Below are 22,233 nucleotides of genomic sequence, written 5' to 3' on the forward strand. Positions count from 1 at the left end.
GATCTCACTATGTTGCCCAGGCTGGTCTCAAACTCCTGGGCTCAAGTGATCCTCCTACCTTGGCCTCCCAAAGTGCTGGAATTACAGGCATGAACCACTATGTCTGGCCAAATTTACCCTTTACAAAGTATATAATTCAGTGGTTTTTAGTATACTCATAGAGTTGTGAAGCATCACTATCTAATTTTATTTAATTTTTAATTTTTTAATTTTTTGAGATGGAGTGTCGCTCTCTCACCCAGGCTGGAGTGCAGTGGCGCTATCTTGGCTCACTGCAACATCTGCTTCCCAGGTTCAAGTGATTATCCTGCCTCAGCCTCCCAAGTTGCTGGGATTACAGGCGTGTGCCACCACGCCTGGCTAATTTACTAAACTAATAAATTACTAAATTAGTAAGTTACTAGTAAATTAGTAATTACTAAAATATAATTTTTAGTAGAGATGGGATTTCATCATGTTGGCCAGGCTGGTCATGAACTCCTGACCTCAATGGATCCTCCTGCCTCAGCTTCCTGAGTAGCTGGGACCACAGGTGCACACCACCACGCCCAGGTAATTAATTTTTATTTTTTGTAGAGTCGGGGGTCTCCCTATGTTTCCCAGGCTGGCCTCGAACTCCTGACCTCAAGTGATCCTCCCACCTCAGCCTCCCCGAGTGCTGGGATTAAAGACGTGAGCCACGGCACCTGGCCTGAATTTTCCTCAAATTCAAAAAATCCTGATGAAGGTTTGGCTAAAATCTTTGGTGAGTTACCCCACTCCCTGTGGAACCTCAGGCTGGATTTGAAGAGTTGCGTGCATGGTCCTCATTGTCTCCCAGGTAACCTGTTCCCGCTGCTGTGAAGGGAAGGCAGGTGCTCTTCCTTGAGGCTAGAATCTGTCTACGTGTCACAGTCTCAGGAAATTAAGCAAAACAGATGATAAACACCTCAAAAGGACCCTACTGAGCATCAGTGGAGCAGAGCAGGGCCATGTGGGACTGCGGCGTCAGATGCCACCTCACACTAGCTGTGACACACCTGCCTCGCCAGTTTCTGCTCTGAGGCCCCAAAGCCGAGCTGAACCTCCTCCAGGGGTTCTCAGCCCTAACTGAGCATGAAAACCCCTGGGGCAATCCTCTTTTTAACAATTGAGACATTCCACACACACCCCACATCAGATTTTGGGGTGTGGGGATAGACCTTCACATTTGTAGTTTTCTAACCCTCCAGGGGACACTAGGCTGAGACTCATTGGTCTCCACTCTGAACCTTCCACTGAACATGTGAGAAAAACTAAGGCCCAGGGAAGTCTTTAGCAGAGAGCTGAGACGGAGAAAAGGGTTCTGAACCACAGCTGTCTGCTGAAGGAAGCTGTCCAAAGGCCAGTGAAGTCTCTCCTGAGGGTGCCTGGGCTGTGCATCAGGAGTGAAGGTTGAGGGTCACCTTAGGTGTGAGAAGGAGCAACTGGGAGAGTGGCGCTGATGCTTCCCCCCGGGTTAGGAGGCATTTGGATCACAGAGCGATGCCTGTTCATTCCTGCTTGCAAGGGAGCAGATCTCTCGACACCCGATGGGCCTCTATTCCGTTCCGGCAGCTGTCCGTGTCAGGAGCGCTGGGCTTGCTCCTCCCCACGGGAGCCATCACAGAGGCCTCGGGCAGTCTGCATAGACAACTGCCTGGCAGGTGACCAGGAGGGGATGCATGAGCAGATGCAGGTAGCACTCGCAGTCCCCCTAGCTGTGCCCTCAGCACCTGCTGTCTAGGAGGCAGAAGCCTTGTTCTCGGCCTTGCAGGTGACCCCAGTGTCTCTGAATTCGGCCCCATATGTGTAGGAGGGGAGTGATTGCATCTGAAGATGGGAGTCTGGTTGGGGGTTTGGGAAGCTCCCATCACCCCTCAAGAGTCCACTGACCAGCCCAGCTCACACCAGGTGGGCCTTGGCACTGGAGGCCACGGCTCAACTCTGCAGTTCCCTCTGGGCAGCATTTCCAGGGACTCGTAGGTCAGCATGGTCATCAAGGACAGGTGGTGAGAGCAGCTCCTCATTGTCCTGGTGACCCCGATGGTTCATTTTCTGGTGTCTCTGTGGTGAGCTCCTGTTACATCAAGCGAGTGGAAACCACCGAGGACCAACAGCCCTGGAAATGCACTGAGAATGCAGGATGAGTGGGCTTTGTGAGGACTGTTTTCTGTGACTTAGCAAGGAAAGCCTGGAAGGGAAAGTAAAACTGCTTCTTCCCAGGGAAGCCAGAAACCTGAGAACTTAAAAGGGAAGGAGAACTTAATATATTTCAAAAATGTAACCCTTGTGAATTAGCAACAGCTTTATAAACAAAGAGATTTCCGAGCTTATAGAATCTATTCTGCTTTGTTTCTGCCCCCATGGCTCCTACCCCTGTTTTTGTGGGTACAATTTTCATATAGAACATTTTTACACAAGCTTCAAAACTCTCTGAGGACAGCTTTCCCCTTTGTGTCTGTCGGGTCCCAGGCAGTCACATCCCAGGAAGTGCTGGGGTTGGGCTCCTTGCTCCACATCCTTCTTCAGTGGCACGAAGCGTGGGGTGGAGTGTGTGAGTCATGTGTGATCTTGGTGTGGGCTATGGCTGGTCTGCAGCACCCCTTCAATGACTGCTTCAAGGGCTTTTCATGATGCTTGTAGCTCATGAGCTAGTGTTTCCTAGATGCTGTTTCCAGGTGTCTTGCATGTCACACACTGGCCTACCAGGGCTGGAGTGAGATCATGAGCGCCAGATTGTTGGTGAAGGAAGTTGACAGAGACATCGAATGTCGGTGAACAGGAGTGACCTTGGGTCTCAATAAATACTGTGGTCAACTGAATCCAGAACCCACCCTTACCAGCAGGGCCCACTTCTTCCCCAGCAGGCCGAGCTCTTCCCCTCCTGTCTTCCCTGGCCCTTGCTTTGTAGCTCTGTGTGGCTGTGTCATGTCTGGTTGTATCTGTATATACTTCTGCCTCTCCCGCTATCTAGATGGCTCGGGGAGGCACACCACACACCAGGTCACCTTCCTCTCTGAACCCCCAGCACCTCATACTGTTTCTGTGCAGAGATAAGGCTGGGTGAAAGCTTGTGTGAATGATCTGAAGTCTTCTACTCTAGGCCAGTCTCCAGGAGCATTATGATCTTTAGGAGGGTGGGCTTGGTTCCTCTGTACAATAATGGGTCATAAAACTGAGTGGTCAAGATCATCCCGGTGAGGGCAGTCCGTGTGTTGCCATAGTTGCTGTACCGGTTAAGAATGCACCTGGCTGCAATTTCCTGAAAACCTGACGTATAGTGGCTTAAACAAAGAGTGGTTTATTTTCCTTCTGTCATAGCAATCTGGGGGAGGCCACTGTGGCTTTGGCGCAGGAGGTCGGGAAAGGCCCGCTTCTCTGATATCATTGGGGGCCTCCCCAGTGCTTGTGTGGCAGAATGACAAGAGGAAGAAGAAGGAGAATTATGGCACTGAGTATCATGAGATTTGGGGTCATATATCTTTAGTGGGCGGTGTTTGCTGCCCCAAATGTCTCATGCCATTAAAATGTTCTGGAAATGATTTAGGTAGTTGGAGTTTCCTTCCCAAAGACAAGGCATTTACAGCATGATGTCCAATATCCATTGAGTTTGTGTCATGCATTCATTGTATTCATAGTCTGCTTTAGGTACTTAGCAAAATATTGCTGATATTAACATGCCTTTGTTTGCTTCACTGGAGATGAAATTGTGCTCCAAGTGTTTTCCAAGGTTCCGTATGACCCATCATTTGATGAAACAAGAACAGCAGTCAGATCCATTACAAAGAGAGACACACAAAAAAGCAAGTATATGTCGTTAACCTGACATGTGTACATACCTCTACAGACCTCTGTGTTATCTCAAATATGCGATGCTAGCATTTTAGCATTCCTTAAATTAACTACTGTGGTGGAGGGGGTGCAAAGCCAAACTGAGATGTGAAGAACTCTCTGAAATCCCCTCTACAGTCTTCCTCCCAATATGGGAGTCTATAGGCTTCAGTGTGAATATCCCTGTATTTTGGGGTGATCCCTGACGTGCAGTGTCAGGCATGTTCTGCCACTCTGGAGGCTGTGCAGAGGACAGAAACCCGGTTTGCAAGTGGGGTTCACTGTTCCTTGTAACAGGAGCTATGAGAAGTGTAATCACTTTCTGTTCACCAGCGCTTTATAGGTCACTGCCCAGGAGTGCCCAAGTCACCGGCTTGGGAGAGTAATGTCTTCCTGCGTCCCTCCCTGTCACCTCTGCCATCATTCCACCTCATCCTCTGTAAAATATTTGCCCAGAGAAGCAGAGCTGATTTCTCTTCCAGCACTGATGCTCCAGTGCCAATGCTGAGAGGAAGCAGCTGGCCACATATGCAAAAATAATGCATATTAACCCCAAATCACATGAAGAAAAGAGAAACCTTGTAAGGTGGACATCATGTGAATTAGGAAGAAAAGTAACAATGAGTAATTAGTTATCAGAATAAGCCAGCTATGTGTGCCAGGAATTATAAGACTCTCAGTAAAGCAATTTAGTAACTAATCACTCTGCCAATGCATTCCATAAGCCATTGAGAAAACATATGAATATTTCACTGCATAATCTCAATAGCTTGCCCTGCACCATGTTTTATGATGCTCCCTTGGCAGATACATTTTGAGGAACACATTTTTAGCAAAGTGCTTGCATGATTAAGTATGTCTATTCTTAATGATTTATCAGTGTCTTATTAACAGAGAACTGTGCATTGTCATTTATTGGATCAAAGTGGTTGTACTTGAAATCATTTGCCATACACCATGTAGGCCTTTCTACCCGTTTTCCTGTAGCATTAAACCTGCCATGTGCACAAATCTCTCAATGCTTATGCATATTGTCTGTCAACAGACTATGTGAAAATGAGCTTAGCCCCTGGTGTTGTGTTGGAACTTCAGATGCTTGCAGACACTTCATGAATGCTCTGTGACACTCAGAATAGGTGGGTTCAGGCCAAGTGCATGATGCTCACCTCAAAATCCCGTGCAGAAGAGTATCAATCTGAAGGGAACAGCTGCAGACCCAATGAAAGACTTAATCACAGCCATGGTTTATTTTCCCTTAGGCTATTCCCAACAGAAGAGCTTGAACAATGCTGCATTTGCATCAGGTTCAAATGAGCGAGAGGAACATTTGGCTAAAATATTTGGTAAGTAGCCTCCTGCTATGAAGCCTTTAGCCTGTGTTTGAAGAGTTGCATGCTTGTCCCTGGTTGTCTCTCAAGTAGCCTGTTCCTGCTGCTTTGAGGGGAAAGCAAGTGCTTTGCCTTGAGGCTAGAATCTGTTTCTCTATGAGTCAAAACCTCGATAAATTAAGCTAAACGTGGAAAATAAACACCTGGAAAGGATCCTGCTCCTCAAAGAGTGATCTATGGAGCAGGAGCAGGGCTACCATCTGGTAGTGTGAGAATACCCTGGGGAGACTGTTTAAAAGAGACACCCCAGGCCCTCGAGATGAGCCTGGCCAACATGGTGAAACCCTATCTCTACTCAAAAAATACAAAAATTAGCTGGGCATGGTGGTGTGCACCTGTAATCCCAGCTACTCGGGAGGTTGAGGCAGGATAATTGCTTGAACCCGGGAGGCGGAGCTTGCAGTGAGCCGAGATCATGCCACTGCACTCCAGCCTGGGCGACAGAGCAAGACTCCATCTCAAAAAAAAAAAAAAAGAAAAAAAAAAAAAAAAAGACACCCCTTGGCCGGGTGCGGTGCCTCATACCTATGATCCCAGTGCTTTGGGAGGCCAAGGTGGGAGGATTGCTGGAGGACAGAAGTTCAGGACCAGCCTCAGCAACATATCAAAAAACACTAAAAAAACGCCCCCCTCCCCGACACACGACAAATTAGCCAAGTGTGGTGGCATGTGCCTGTGGTCCCAGCTACTCGGGAGGCTGAGGTGGGAGGATCTTTTGAGCCCAGGAGTTTGAGGCTGCCATGAGCTATGATTGTGCCACTGTACTCCAGCCTGGGCATCAGAGCTGTACTGTCTATTAAAAAAAAAGAGAGAGACATCTTGTTTCACTTTCAGTGATCAGATTCTGTGAGATGGGGTGAGACCTTTGCATCACTAGGTTTTAAAGCCCTTCAGGTGATTCTAGGCTGTGACTCATTCATCTACCCCAAGCCTCTAATTTACTATTTGAGAAAAACTAAGGCCCAGATGGAAGATGGTGGGGTGGGGAGCTCCAGGAATCTGTCCCTTTACCAAAACAACAACTGAGCTGGCAAGAACTATGTTAAGTAGCTATGGAATATTGGTGTCTAGTAGAACACTTGCAGTGTCCAAGAGTGAGCTTGATGAAGAGGCTGCCGAATTTCAACATTTTGGGTAGTGGCTGCCATCCTCCATTCCCAAGCCCTGTGACGGGCAGCAGTGTGGATAGCAGTCCACATTCCTAGTGAGGATTGCTGGTGCCAGGGTGGGCAATAGAGACCTGTCTTCTAAAACTCAGGGCGCGTATTTTGATTGCTGATTGCTACTTTAGAGCTCCAAGGGGCTAGCACTAAAACTGACAGTTGTTTTAACTGGCATTATTAAATGCCAGTTAAAAAACTCTATGGGCTGAAGAGGCTTCCAAGCAGCCCTGTTGAGGGGATTTAAGGAAATAATGTTTTTTGTTTTTCTCTTTTTGGAGATAGACACTTAAGGAAACTTTTATCAGGTCATTGACTAACTTCAGAGATAAGAAAACAGAAAATTCAGCACTTTCACACAACAAGAAGTACGCACTTTGCAAAACTAGTTTGGAAAAGTTACAAAAAGATGGCTTCAGCCTTCAATAAGCAAAAATCAACAATCACTGAAAGAGAGGATTAGATTTCCAGAGTTATCAAAATGTAATACACAGAATGTCCATCTCTCAACGTAAAATTATAAAACATACAAAGAAACAGGAAAGGATGGCTCATTCACAGGAAAAAGGAATTTGGCAGAACTTGTTCCTGAGGAAACCTGGGAATTAAAATTATTACACAAGATGTTAAATCAACCATCTTCAAAATGTTCACTGAACTAAAGGAGACCATGAACAAATAACTTAAGGAAATCAGGAAAACAATGTATAAATAAAATAATATCAATAAAGAGATAGAAATTATTGAAAAGAGCCAAAGAAAAGTTCTAGAGCTGAAAAGTGTAATAAATGAATACTTGGCACATGCCTGTAATCCCAGAACTTTGGGAGGCCGAGGCAGATGGGTCATGAGGTCAGGAGATGAAGACCATCCTGGCTAACACGGTGAAATCCCGTCTCTACTAAAAATACAAAAAATTAGCAGGGCGTGGTGGTGGGTGCCTGTAGTCCCACCTACTCGGGAGGCTGAGGCAGGAGAATGGCATGAACCCAGGAGGCAGAGCTTGCAGTGAGCCGAGATCGCGCCATTGCACTCCAGCCTGGGCAACAGAGCAAGACTCTGCCTCAAAAAAATAAAAAAAAAAAGAAAGGATCAGCACACTTGAAGATAAGACATTGAAAGTATCCAGCCTGAGAAGCAGAAAGAAAAAAAAAAAAGAAAATGAATTGAACATGTGGGACTTGTGGGGCACCATCAAGCATACTAAAATATACATTATGGGAGTCTCAGAAGGGAAAGACAGAGAGATATGAAGACAATGTTTGAATGAAGAATAGCCCCAAACTTCCTGAATATGTTGAAAGACATGAATGTGCACATTCAAGTTACTCAATGAACTCCAAGCAGAATACTCAGAGATTCACAGTGAAACACATTATTAGCAAATTGTCAAAATCCAGACACAAAGAGAATCTTGAAAGCAGTAACAGATAAGTGACTCAGCATAAAAGGAACCCTCAATAAAATTCACCACTCATTTCTCCGCAACAACCACAGAGGGTAGGAGGCAGTAGGATGGCACATTCAAAGTTCTGAAAGAAAAATAATGTAATCAGCAGGGCATGGTGGCTCATTCCTGTAATCCCAGCACTTTGGGAGGCTGACGTGGGCAGATCACTTGAGCCCAGGAATTCGAGACCAGCCTGGGCAATACGGCAAAACCCTGTTTCTACTAAAAAAAAAAAAAAAAAAAAATTAGTTGGGTGTGATGGTGCACACCTGTAGTCCCAGCTATTCAGCACACTGAGGTGGGAGGATCACCTGAGCCTGGGAAGTCCAGGCTGCAGTGAGCTGAGATTGCCCCACTGCATTCCAGCCTGGGTGATGGGAGTGAGATCCTTTCTTGGAAAAAAAAAAAAAAAGTAAAAAGGAAAATACTGTCAAGCAAGAATTCTCTATCTGACAAAATTATCTTTCCAGAATAAAAGAGAAACAGAACATTTTCAGGTAAACAAAAGCTGAGAGACCCGCCTTATGAGAAATGGCAAAGAGAGCCCTTCAGGCTGAGATGAAGGGACATTTAACAGTCACTTGACATAAGAAAAAAAAAAATGCTGGTAAAGGTAACTACTAGCTCTAAAAGTCTTATTGTACTTTAGGTTTCATCTATAACTTCTGCCTTTTAAAAATATGATTTAAAAGGTGAATGCATGAAATAATAATTACACATCTGTTAATGGTCATACAGTGTATAAAGATAGACTCTGTAATAACAACAATATAAAGGGAAGGGAATAGAGATATATGTGTGCAGAGTGTTTGTATACTATTGAAACTAAGTTGATACTATTCAAGCTAAGTTGTTAAAAATTTAAGATACTAGGTGTTTAAGTTTAAACAAATTTTAACTAGTTTAGGTGTTTCCAAGGTAACCAGTAAATAATAACTAAAAAAATATGGAACAAAAGAGTAAAAGAAAGAGTCGAAGCCAGGCAGGGTGGCTTATGCCTGTAATCCCAGCCATTTGGGAGGCTGAGGTGGGGGGATCACCTGAGGTCAGGAGTTTGAAACCAGCCTGGCCAACATGATGAAACCCTATCTCTACTAAAAATACAAAAATTAGCCGGGCAGCAGGTGCCTGTAATCCCAGCTACTCGGGAGCCTGAGGCAGGAGAATTGCTTGAACCCAGGAGGCGGAGGTTGCCGTGAGCCAAGATCACGCCATTGCACTCCAGCCTGGGCAACAAGAGTGAAACTCTATCTCAAAAAAAAAAAAAAAAGAAAAAAAAGAAAAAGAAATAAAGAGTTGAATGGAACATTATAAAGAACCAACTTTTAAAAAAAGCAGTAATGGGGGAATGACGAGCAAAAGAAAACACACACAAAACACAAACCCCTAAATGACCAAAAACACAACACACATATACACAACAAATAGCAAAATGGCTGAGCCTGGTGGCTCACGCCTGTAAGCCCAGTACTTTGGGAAGCCAAGGTGGGCAGATCACTTAAGCTCAGGAGTTCAAGACCAGCCTGGCCAACATGGTGAAACCCCGTCTTTACTAAAACACAAAAATTAGCTGAGCGTGATGGTGCATGCCTGTAATCCCAGCTATTTGGGAGGCTGAGGCAGGAGAATCACTTGAACATGGGAGGCAGAGGTTGCAGTGAGCCGAGATCATGCCACTGCATTTCAGCCTGGGCGACAGAGTGAGACTCCATCTCAAAAACAAAAACAAAAGAGCAAAATGGCAGATTAAATACTTTTTAATCAGTAATCACATTAAATTTAAATGGATTAAACTCTTAATAAAAGGCAGAGATTTGCAAATTGGATTTAAAAACCTGTCCATGTATCTACTGTCTCCAAGAGATTCACTTAGGGAATACAAGGAGGTTGAAAGTAAAAGAATGGAAAATGTATTTCATGCAAATAATAGCCAAAAGAGAGCTGAGGTGGCTGTATTATTTTCAGACAAAATAGATGTTAAACCACATGGTTTATGAGAGACAAGGATAGTTGGAGACTTCAGTATCCTCCTCTCAATAATGAATAGAACTAGACAGAAGAGGCCAGGGGCGGTGGCTCACGCCTGTAGTCCCAGCACTTTAGGAGGCCGAGGCGGGCGGATCATGAGGTCAGGAGATCGAGACCATCCTGGCTAACACGGTGAAACCCCATCTCTACTAAAAATACAAAAAATTAGCCAGGCGTGGTGGTGGGCACCTGTAGTCCCAGCTACTCAGGAGGCTGAGGCAGGAGAATGGCATGAACCCGGGAGGTGGAGCTTGCAGTGGGCCGAGATTGCGCCACTGCACTCCAGCCTGGGAGACAGAGCGAGACTCCGTCTCAAAAAAAAACAAAAACCAAAAAACCCCAAAAATTAGCTGGGCATGGTGGCATGCGCCTATAGTCCCAGCTACTTGGGAGGTTGAGGCAGGAGAATAACTTGAACCAGGGAGGCAGAGGTTGCAGTGAGCCGAGATGGCGCCACTGCACTCCAGCACAGGAGACAGAGCGAGACTCCATCTCAAAAAAAAAAAAAAAAAAAAAAAAAAAGAATTGTACAGAGGAACAGTAAGTAAAGGAATAGACTTGAACAGCACTCTAAACCAATTAGACCTAGCAGACATATCCAGAACAATCCACCCAGCAACAGAAGAATATGTATTCTTCTCAAGAGCATATGGAATATTTGCCAGGATAGCCCATATGTTAGGACACAAATCTTCATTAATTGAAAAAGACTGAAATAATACAAAGTATCTTTTCAGATCACAATGGAATGAAACTAGAAATCTACAACAGAGGGAAATCTGGAATATTTACACACATGGAGATTAAGCAACACACTCTTAAATAATCAATGGGTCAAAGAAGAAATCACAAGGGAATTTAGAAACTGCCTTGAGATAAGTGCAAATTAAACACAACATGCCAAAACTTGGGATGCAGTGAAAGCAATGCCAAGAGGGAGATTTATAGATATAAATGCATTCATTAAAAAAGAGGATCTTCTCACGCCTGTAATCCCAGCACTTTGGGAGGCCTAGGCGGGCGGATCACGAGGTCAGGAGATCGAGACCATCCTGGCTAACACGGTGAAACCCTGTCTCTACTAAAAGTACAAAAAATTAGCTGGGCGTGGTGGCGGGCGCCTGTAGTCCCAGCTATTTGGGAGGCTGAGGCAGGAGAATGGCATGAACCCAGGAGGCGGAGCTTGCAGTGAGCCGAGATGGTGCCACTGCACTCCAGCCTGGCAACAGTGAAAGACTCTGTCTCAAAAAAAAAAGGGGGGGGATCTTAAATAAATAACCTAATTGTACACCTAAAGGAACTAGAAAAAGAACAGCATATTAAGTTGAAAGCTAGGAGAAAGAAGGAAATAGTAAAGTATACAGAGGAAAGAAGTGAAATAACAGAAAAACAATAGAAGAGAACTGATGAAACCCAAAATTAGTTACTTAAAAAGACCAACAAAATTGACAAACTTCTAGCTAGATAGGTGAAGAAAGAAGAGGATCCATTATGAATTCAGAAATTAGAGTGGGAATATTACTACTAATTTTCTGGAAATAGAAAGCATTTAATGAGAGAAGAATATAAACATTTGTATGCTCACAAATTGGATGACCTAGATGAAATTTTAAAATTCCTGGAAGCACACGAACTACCAAAATTGACTCCAGAAGAAATAAGAAAATCTGAATAGACACATAACAAGTAAGGAGAATGAATCAGTAATCAAAATTTTCCAACGAAGAAAGTCTAGAATTAGATGTGTTCTCTGGCAAAATCTACAAAAGCTATAAATAAGAACTAACACCAGTCCTCAAACCCTTCCAAGAAGCTGAAGAGGAAGAAACACTTCCTGGCTTACTCTAAGAGGCCAGTATGGAGTATGGCCCTGATACCAAAGGCAGACAAAGTCACTACAAGAAGACTAAAAACAAATGTCTCTTGTAAATATAAACAGAAAAATCCTCAACAGAACATTAGCAAACCAAAACCAATAGCCTATTAAAAGGACTATACACCAGACCAAGAAGGATTTATTTCTGGAACAGAAGGATGGTTGAACATAATAAAAATCAATCACTGTAATATACCACATTAATATAATGAAGGAGAAAAAATATCATTTCAATTGATGCAGATATAGCATTTGACAAAATTCAACACCCTTTCATGATTGAAAAAAAAAACCAAAACACTCAACAAACTAGAGATAGAAGGAAACTACCAAAACGTAATAAAAGCCTGTTTGAAAAACCCATGGATGATATCGTGCTCAATGTTGAAAGACTGAAAGCTTTCCTCAAAGATCAGGAACAAGGCAAGGATGCCTGCTCTCACCAATTCTATTCAATACAGTACTGGAAGTCATAGCCAGAGTCATTAGGCAAAAAAAAGAAATGAGGCATCCAAATCAGAAAGGAAGAAATAAAATTATCTCTGGTTGCAGATGACTTGATCTTATATGTTGAAAACCATATAGACTCCACACACACACACACACACACACACACACACACACACAAACATATTAAAACCAGTAAATGCATTTAGCAAAGTTGTGGGGTACAAATTGAACACACAAAAATCAGCTGTGTTTTTATACACTAACGATATATACACTAATAATCCAAACAAGATATGAGAACAATTAATTCCATTTACGATTATATCAAAAAGAATAAAATACTTAGAGATAAACTTAGCCGAGAAAGTGAAAGACTTATACCAGTACTGAAAACTACAAAGCACTGATAAAAGAAAATAGAGAAACAAAGAATCTCATGTTCATGGACTGAAAAACTTAATATTGTTAAGATGTCAAAATTGACCTGGCATGATGGCTCACACCTGTAATCTTAGCACTTGGGAGGCTGAGGCAAGAGGATCACTTGAGCCCAGGTGTTTGAGATCCAGCCTGGGCAACACAATAAGACCTGGTATCTATTAAAAAAAAAAAAAAAAGATGTCAAAATTGCCCAAAGTGATCTGCACATTCAATATAATCCCTATCAAAATCTCAAGGGCTTTTTTCCCAGCAAAAGAAAAATCTACCGTAAGATTCGTATGGAATTTCAAATGCTTCAAACAGCAAAAATAGTCCTGAAAAAAAAGAAAACAATTGGAGGAATTTCACTTTCTCATTTCAAAACTTGCTACAAAGCACAGTTATCAAAACAGTGTGATACTAGTATAAGGCTAATCACATAGACCAGTAGAATAGAATAGAAAGTTCAGAAAGAAATGCATATGTCTATGGTCAGTTTTTCTTTTCTTTTTTTTTTGAGATGGAGTCTCACTCTGTCGCCCAGGCTGGAGTGCAGGAGTGCAGTGGCGCGATCTTGGCTCACTGCAAGCTCCGCCTCCTGGGTTCACGCCATTCTCCTGCCTCAGCCTCCCTAGTAGCTGGGATTACAGGTATGCGCCACCATGCCCAGCTAATTTTTTTTTTTTTTTTTTTTTTGAGACGGAGTCTCACTCTGTCGCCCAGGCTGGAGTGCAGTGGTGTGATCTCAGCTCACTGCAAGCTCTGCCTCCCAGGTTCACACCATTCTCCTGCCTCAGCCTCCCGAGTAGCTGGGACTACAGGCGCCCGCCACCACGCCTGGCTAATTTTTTGTATTTTTAGTAGAGATGGGGTTTCACCATGGTAGCCAGGATGGTTTCGATCCCCTGACCTCGTGATCCGCCCACCTCGGCCTCCCAAAGTGCTGGGATTACAGGCATGAGCCACCGTGCCCGGCCAGTCAATTGATTTTCAACAAGGATGTCAAAGCCAACAGAGTGGAAATGACAGTCTCTTCGACAAATGGTCCTGGGAAAACTGGAAGGTCACAGGCAAAAGAATGAAGCTAGCTCATTACCTTATACCATATACAAAAATTCAAAGTAGGTCAAAGATCTAAATTAATGAGCTTAAACTATTAGTCTCTTAGAAGTAAACATAGGTGAAAATCTTCATGACCTTGAATTAGGCACGTGATGTTTTAAATCTGACACCAAAAGCAGGCAAAAAGAGAAAAAATAGCTACATTGGACATCATCAAAATTAAAAACTGTTGTATATCAAAGGCATTTCTCCCACAGAATGAGAGAAAATGTTTGCAATTCACATATCTGATGAGGGATCAATATCCAGAAGACACAGCAAACTCCTGTAACTTAACAACAAAACAAACAAACAACCCACTCCAAAAATGGGCAAATAACTTGAATAGCTATTTTCCAAAGAAGATATACAAATGGCCAATAAACACATAAAAAGATGCTCAACATCATTAGTCATTAGGGAAATGCAAAATATCACTATTCACGCTTCTTAGAATGGATTTTATTTTTTATTTTTATTTTTATTTTTGAGACAGAGTCTTGTTCTGTCACCCAGGCTGGAGTGTAGTGGCACAATCTTGGCTCACTGCAAGCTTCGCCTCCCGGGTTCACACCATTCTCCTGCCTCAGCCTCCCGAGTAGCTGGGACTACAGGCGCCCGCCACCACGCATGGCTAAGTTTTTGTATTTTTAGTAGAGACAGGGTTTCACTGTGTTAGCCAGGATGGTCTCGATCTCCTGACCTCGTGATCCATCCACCTCGGCCTCCCAAAGTGTTGGGATTACAGGCATGAGCCACCACGCCCGGCCTAGAATGGCTATTTTGGTTTTTTTCTTTCTTTCTTTCTTTCTTTTTTTTTTTTTTGAGACAAAGTCTCGCTCTGTCGCCCAGGCTGGAGTGCAGTGGTGTGATCTCGGCTCACTGCAAACTCTGCCTCCCAGGTTCACGCCATTCTCCTGCCTTAGCCTCCTGAGTAGCTGGGACTACAGGCGCCTGCCACCATGGCCGGCTAATTTTTTGTATTTTTAGTAGAAACGGGGTTTCACTGTGTTAGCCAGGATGGTCTCAATCTCCTGAACTCATGATCTTCCCGCTTTGGCCTCCCAAATTGCTGGGATTACAGGCGTGAGCCACTGTGCTGGCCTTTTTTTTTCTTTTTTTGAGACAAAGTCTTGCTCTGTCACCCAGGCTGGAGGGCAGTGGCGCAATCTCGGATCACTGCAACCTCCACCTCCCAAGTTCAAGCAATTCTCCTGCCTCAGCCTCCCTAGTAGCTGGGATTATAGATGCCTACCACCAAACCTGGCTAATTTTTGCATTTTTAGTAGAGATGGGGTTTTGCCATGTGGGCCGGGCTGGTCACGAACTCCTGACCTCAGGTGATCTGCCCTCCTCGGCCTCCCAAAGTGCTGGGATTACAGGTGTGAGCCACCGTGCCCAGCCAGAATGGCTATTTTTTTAAAAAGAAAAATAACAGATATTGGTGAGGATGAAGGAAATTGAAACCCTCATACATTGCTGGTGGGAAGGTAAGATGGTGCAGCTGCTACATGTCCATTTTGTGCTGTTATAACAGAATACCACAGCCTAGGTAATTTGTAATAAGTTGAAATTTATTGGCTCACAATTCTGAAGGCTGGGAAGTCCAAGACTGAGGGGCCAGCATCTGGCAAGAACCTTCTTGCTGTGTCATCATCCCATGGTGGAAAGCAGAAATGCCATAGAGGTGGAAAGCGGAAATGCCATAGAGGGTGAAAGAGAGAGCAAGGGAGGGCTGAACTTGTCCTTTTACATGGTATGCACTCTTACGATAACTAACCCATTCCTGTGATAACCATATTAACCTCTTAATGAGGGCACAATTTCCATGACCCAAACACCTCCATTAGGCCCTACCTCCTAACATGACGACCACATTGGGAATCAAATTTCCAGCACCTGAAATTTGAGGACACATTTAAATCATAGCAATGGGTGTAGAGTTTCTGTTTCAGTCGATTTTTTTTTTTCTTTTTTCTGAGATGGAGTCTTGCCCTGTCACCCAGGCTGGAGTGCAATGGCGCGATATCAGCTCACTGCAACCCCTGCCTCCCCGGTTCAAGCGATTCTCTTGCCTCAGCCTCCCGCGTAGCTGGGATTACATGCATGAGCTACCATGCCCCGCTAATTTTTTGTATCTTTAATAGAGATGGGGTTTCACCATGTTGGCCAGGCTGGTCTCGAACTCCTGACTCATGATCTGCCCACCTCGGCCTCCCAAAGTGTTGGGATTACAGGCATGAGCCACCGTGCCTGGCCCTGTTTCAGTTGATTTAAAAGTTCTGGAAGCCGAGCGCCTCAGTCCCAGCACTTTGGGAGGCCAAGGCAAGTGAATTGCTTGAGGTCAGAAGTTCAAGACCAGCCTGGCCAACGTGGTGAAACCCTGTCTCTACTAAAAATTAAAAAAAAATTAGCTGGGTGTGGTGGCGTGAACCTGTAGTCCCAGCTAGTTGGGAGACTGAGGTGGGAGGATCATTTGAGCCTGGCAGGCACAGGTTACAGTGAGCTGAGACTGCACCACTGCACTCCAGCCTGGAGTTCTGGAAATAAACAGTGGTGATGTTTACACAACACTGTGAATGTTTTGAATACCCTTAATTGTACACTTAAATAGAGTAAAAATGGGCCAGGCATGGTGGCTCATGCCTGTAATTTCAACACTTTGCAAGGCTGAGGTGGGAGGATCACTTGAGGCCAGGAGTTCCAGACCAGCCTAGGCAACATAGCAAGACCCTGTTTCTATAAAAAATTAAAAAATTAGCCGGATGTGTGGTGACACATGCCTGTAGTCTCAGCTACTCAGGAGGCTGAGGCGGGAGGATTGCTTGAGGCCAAGAGTTTAAGGCTGCAGTGAGCTATGATTACACCACTGCAGTTCAGCTTGGGTGACACAGCGAGACTTTGTCTCTAAATAAATAGCAGAAATGGAAATTTTATGTTAAGTGTATTTTACCACCACCACCACCACCACAACAAAGCAAAGCCAAGGCCCAAGGAAGTCCTCTTTAGCAGAGAGCTGAGATGGAGAAAAGGGTTCTGAACCACAGCTGTCTGCTGAAGGAAGCTGTCCAAAGGCCAGTGAAGTCTCTCCTGAGGGTGCCTGGGCTGTGCATCAGGAGTGAAGGTTGAGGGTCACCTTAGGTGTGAGAAGGAGCAACTGGGAGAGTGGCGCTGATGCTTCCCCCCGGGTTAGGAGGCATTTGGATCACAGAGCGATGCCTGTTCATTCCTGCTTGCAAGGGAGCAGATCTCTCGACACCCGATGGGCCTCTATTCCGTTCCGGCAGCTGTCCGTGTCAGGAGCGCTGGGCTTGCTCCTCCCCACGGGAGCCATCACAGAGGCCTCGGGCAGTCTGCATAGACAACTGCCTGGCAGGTGACCAGGAGGGGATGCATGAGCAGATGCAGGTAGCACTTGCAGTCCCCCTAGCTGTGCCCTCAGCACCTGCTGTCTAGGAGGCAGAAGCCTTGTTCTCGGCCTTGCAGGTGACCCCAGTGTCTCTGAATTCGGCCCCATATGTGTAGGAGGGGAGTGATTGCATCTGAAGATGGGAGTCTGGTTGGGGGTTTGGGAAGCTCCCATCACCCCTCAAGAGTCCACTGACCAGCCCAGCTCACACCAGGTGGGCCTTGGCATTGGAGGCCACGGCTCAACTCTGCAGTTCCCTCTGGGCAGCATTTCCAGGGACTCGTAGGTCAGCATGGTCATCAAGGACAGGTGGTGAGAGCAGCTCCTCATTGTCCTGGTGACCCCAATGGTTCATTTTCTGGTGTCTCTGTGGTGAGCTCCTGTTACATCAAGCGAGTGGAAACCACCGAGGACCAACAGCCCTGGAAATACACGGAGAATAAATATAGGATGAGTGGGCTTTGTGAGGGCTGTTTTCTGTGACTTAGCAAGGAAAGCCTAGAGGGGAAGGTAAAACTGCTTCTTCCCAGGGAAGCCAGAAGCCTGAGAACTTAAAAGGGAAGGAGAACTTAATGTATTTCAAAAATGTAACCCTCATGAATTAGCAACAGTTTTATAAAGAAAGAGCTTTCTGAGCTTTTAGAATCTGTTCTGATTCATCTGTGCCCTCACAAACTTTACCCTATTTTTATGAGTCATCTTGCGAACAGCCTCAAAGGTGCATCAGAATGACAACAGAAACCAGAAGAGTTATTAGGGCACTAAGTATCAGGAGATCTGGGGCCATATATCTTTAGCGGGCAGTGTTTACTGCCCAGGATGTCTCAGACATCACAATTTTCCGGAAATGATTTAGGTAATTGGAGTTTTCCTTCCCAAGACAAGGCATTTTAGGGAATAACGTCCCATATCTGTGGCGTTTGCGTCATGTATTCACTGTATTCATAGACTGCTTTAGGTACTTAGAGAGCAAAATATATCAATCCTGCGTTGCTGTATTAACATGCCTTTGTTTGCTCCACTGGAGATGAAATTCTACTGCAGGTGTTTCCAAAGTTTCCGTATGACCCATCATTTAACGAAGCAACAGCAGTCAGATCCATTACAAAGACAGACATGAGAAAAGGCAAGTGTATGTCATTAACATAATAAGTGCACACATTTCTATAGGCCTATGTGTTGTCTTAAATGTGCTATACTATCATACTAGCAGTCTTTAAACCAACTACTGGTGGGGCAAAGCCAAATTGAGATATGAAGGAAACAACTGTCTGAAATCCTCTCTATAACCTTCCACTCACTATGGAATCTGTGCTCCAAAGTGTGAATATCCCTGTATTTTGGGGTGATCCTTGATGTGCAGTGTTAGGCAGGTTCTGCCACCCTGGAGGCATTCAGAGGACAGAAACCTGATCTGCAAGTGGGGTTCCCCACTCCCGACAACAGGAGCCCCCAGCAGCATCCTAACTTTCAACCCAACACACGAATCCTTCTAAGTGCACAACGTGGTTTGAGAGAATTAGTGCAGTCATTAATACCCCATTCAGTGGATGATAAAACAAGACCAAAAAATGACTTACCTTAAGCACACCCATAGAAATGACACATGTGAAGAACACACTGTTTCCCCAAAGCAGCTTCATATTATGGGAAAAATTTAGCACTTTGGGAATTAAGATAGGTATTTGCTCACAGTAATAAGGATAGAATAGTGTATTGGAAATCTGCCAGCCGTGGGTACAAGTGCCCCAGGCAGGGAGGGGGAATGGGCACTGTGTTGGTATTCTGCAGACAGATGTTTGCACCCCAATTCCTGAGGGTAGTTTCCCTGAGGGTAGCCCAGGACAACTGCCTGGGCACCTCTGCAATCGGCAGTGAGGCGGCACCACTGTCTACATCAAGGCATTCACTTTCAAACACACATTTTGCTCACACAAGTTGAGTTCTATATTAGCATTTCAACTTAAAAATGGAAAACAAGCCAGGCGCGGTGGCTCACACCTGTAATCCCAGCACTTTGGGAGGCCGAGGTGGGCAGATCACTTGAGGTCAGGAGTTCGAGACCAGCCTGACCAACATGGCGAAACCCTGTCTCTACTAAAAATACAAAAAAATTAGCCAGCCATGGTGGCTCATGCCTGTAGTCCCAGCTACTTGGGAGGCTGAGACATGAGCATCACTTGGACCTGGGAGGCGGAGGTTGCCGTGAGCCGAGATCTTGCCACTGCACTCCAGCCTGGGTGACTGCGAGACTCTGTCTCAAAAGACAAAAAAAAACCACAAAAAAACCAAAAAATGGAATACAAAATATGGGCCCAAGGTGCTTGCAAATGTGTACTGATGAATACCCTTTTTCTTATTGTTTTTTATTCATGTGTCTTATCAAAGGAACCAGCATTGCTTGGAATTCTCCTAAACCAGAATATTTCCTTGGCAGTGTGGACAAAATTCCTGATAAAGGTAAATGCAAATGCATAAAATTGGAATTGGGGGTTGGTAAGTCATTGTTCTTTTTCCTCTTTTTTTTTTTTGAGACGGAGTCTCACTCTGTTGCCCAGGCTGGAGTACAGCGGTGCAGTCTCGGCTCACTGCAAACTCTGCCTCCCAGGTTCACGCCATTCTCCTGCCTCAGCCTCCCAAGTAGCTGTGACTATGGGGGCCCGCTACCACGCCTGGCTAATTTTTTGTATTTTTTAGTAGAGACAGGGTTTCACCGTGTTAGCCAGTATGGTCTCGATCTCCTGACCTCGTGATCCACCTGCCTTGGCCTCCCAAAGTGCTGGGATGACAGGTGTGAGCCACCGGGCCTGGCCCCTCCTTTTCCTTTTACCTGACCTGAGTTCAGAGCTGAGGGTCTGGCAGATGGTGCTCAGACTCTCTTGTAGAGAGTACAAGAGAGTACTTGTTTTTTTTTTTTTGTTTTTTTTTTTGAGACAGAGTCTCACTCTGTTGCCCAGGCTGGAGTACAGTGGCACCATCTCAGCTCACTGCAAACTCTGTCTCCTGGGTTCAAGCAGTTCTCTGCCTCAGCCTCCCAAGTAGCTGGGACTACAGACGCACACCACCACACCCAGCTAATTTTTGTATTTTTAGTAGAGACGGGGTTTCACCATGTTGGCCAGGCAGGTCTTGAACTCCTGACCTCGTGATCCGCCTGCCTCGGCCTCCCAAAGTGCTGGGATTACAGGTGTGAGCCACCGCACCTGGCCACAAGAGAGTACTTGTACTTGGCTGTACAACGTGTGTGCTTCACCCTGAATTATGAAGAGTTCCCTAATCAATGGTAAGGTTTAGGATACCCATGGTTTCCCCAAATCCCACCCTGTGCGAGTCTGCTTCTGTGATATGTACAGCATGGAGGAGCAGATCAGAATGTTTATTCTCTGCAGGCAGACGGATGCCAGCCAGGAGGGACAGAGAGCTAGCCGCAGACACCTGGTGCCTCCTCCCAAACTGACCTGGGCAGGTCCTTCCCCCGCTGGGGTGGTGGGGCTGGGCAGTGGCTGAGCACATTCCTGAGGTGCTGCCCCGGAGGAATTCTCCCCTCCTCCTCAGGAGTGTGGGAAAGCGCTGCCTCCAGCTAGGAGCAGAGGCTCATCTGAGCTATCTGATCATGCTGGAGGGAGATTGGCTCCACAGACAGGATGAGCAGCTAGAATCCATGAAGCATTTCTCCCCTAGAAAGACTTAAAAGATTTAAAAGAAAAAAACCAGGCCAAATAGGTCACTGTCCAAGCTGGTAAATATGTGGTCTTTCCTGGGTGCAGGATTATGAACCTGGCCAGGAGTTCCCGGGCCGCACCATGCATCAGCCGGAGGTCAGGGTGGGGAATGGGAAGAGCTTATTAAAAATCCTTATTCCTGGCTGGGTGATGTAGCTCCCCTGTAGTCAGGAGTTCAAGACCAGCTACTCAGGAGGCTGAGGCAGGAGAATCGCTTGAACCCAGGAGGCAGAGGTTGCAGCGAGCTGAGATCGCGCCACTGCACTCCAGCCTGGGCAACAAGAGCGAAACTCCGTGCTGGGATTACAGGCATGAGCCACCGCGCCTGAAAATAGTGTGTTTTAATGTCTTGTCGGACTAGTTCCCCTTTTGCAGTTTTTGTTTTTTCATTGTTTTCCTGGCTATTTTTGCATGTTTGTTTTTCCATGTGAACTTTAACATCAACTTGTCTAACTTCATCAAAAGGCTATGGTATTCTGATTGGCATTGCATCAAATTTATACTACAATATTCACTGTGGGAAAACAGATGTTAGGTCATCCTATGCTAGAAATGGGAATGCCTTTCCAGTTCTTCAAGTTTATTTTCACTGTGTGTTAAAGTTTTCCTTACATAGATTTTTACATGTATCTTCTTAAGTTTATTCCTAAGTCACTTAATTTTCTGTGTTGCTATTGTAAGAGAGGGGGTTTCTCTATCATTATACTCTCTACCTACTTAATGTTTGGGTATAGGAAGGCTTGATTTTTATATATTAATTTTATGTCCTATTGCCTTGTTCAATTCTACGTATACTGTTATAGAGATAGTTTTACTTCTTTTTTTTTTTTTTTTTTTTGAGATGGAGTCTCACACTGTTGCCCAGGCTGGAGTGCAGTGGCATGATCTCAGCTCACTGCAACCTCCTCCTCCCAGGTTCAAGTGATCCTCCTGCCTCAGCCTCCCAAGTAGCTGGGACTACAAGCACATGCCACCATGCCCAGTTAATTTTTGAATTTTTATTAGAGACAGGGTTTCACCATGTTGGCCAGGCTGGCCTCCAACTCCTGACCTCAGGTGATCTGCCCGCCTTGGCCTCCCAAAGTGCTGGGATTACAGGCATGAGCCACCATGCCCAGCCAGTTTTACATCTTTACCTATTGTTATGCCTCTACCTGATTTATTTATCATGTTTAATTGCATTGCTAATACCTCTAGGATAATCTTGAATGGTTGCTGGAGATACAGTGGGCATCCTGCTTTGTTCTTGCTCTTGGAGAAATGCCTCTTGAGTTTCCTGATTAAGAGTCTGGTTATAGGACTAATATGAATGAGAGATTATCTGTATATCTAGCCTTCCATCTACACACATACATGTAAATATGTATGCATACATATATTTATACTGAGAATGAGAAT

General features: G+C 45.0%; 1 protein-coding gene across 10 annotated transcripts in view, besides 2 other annotated features; it reads left to right on the plus strand.

The window, feature by feature from the left end:
• C2orf92 (chromosome 2 open reading frame 92) overlaps nt 1–22,233 on the plus strand; it is a 39,126-nt gene that overhangs the window by 6,814 nt on the left and 10,079 nt on the right. For 3 of the 10 annotated variants that reach the window (XM_024453105.2, XM_024453110.2, NM_001351368.2), the window contains 4 exons: nt 3,702–3,803; nt 5,091–5,174; nt 18,141–18,239; nt 19,502–19,573. In XM_024453105.2, coding sequence (XP_024308873.1) covers nt 3,702–3,803; nt 5,091–5,174; nt 18,141–18,239; nt 19,502–19,573 — 357 coding nt within the window. Of the gene's footprint in view, nt 1–576; nt 746–3,701; nt 3,804–4,876; nt 4,968–5,090; nt 5,175–6,664; nt 8,619–18,140; nt 18,240–19,501; nt 19,574–22,233 lie in introns of those variants that run through there. The other 7 variants (XM_024453106.2, XM_024453111.2, NM_001410919.1 and 4 more) reach the window with 5 other exon arrangements.
• Nucleotides 17,205–18,404: an enhancer, noted in NCBI's record as "BRD4-independent group 4 enhancer chr2:98304422-98305621 (GRCh37/hg19 assembly coordinates)". NCBI's record gives its function as "activates an origin of replication core promoter dependent on BRD2, P300/CBP, MED14 and CDK7 cofactors, and independent of BRD4, by STARR-seq in HCT116 cells {active_cell/tissue: HCT116}" and the evidence as "EXISTENCE:reporter gene assay evidence [ECO:0000049][PMID:35650434]".
• Nucleotides 19,940–20,739: an enhancer, noted in NCBI's record as "H3K27ac-H3K4me1 hESC enhancer chr2:98307157-98307956 (GRCh37/hg19 assembly coordinates)". NCBI's record gives its function as "activates a minimal SCP1, AML or CMV promoter by ChIP-STARR-seq in primed H9 embryonic stem cells {active_cell/tissue: H9 hESC(primed)}" and the evidence as "EXISTENCE:reporter gene assay evidence [ECO:0000049][PMID:30033119]".

Source organism: Homo sapiens, chromosome 2 (genome assembly GCF_000001405.40).
Source record: "Homo sapiens chromosome 2, GRCh38.p14 Primary Assembly".
NCBI classification, from domain to species: Eukaryota; Metazoa; Chordata; class Mammalia; order Primates; family Hominidae; genus Homo; species Homo sapiens.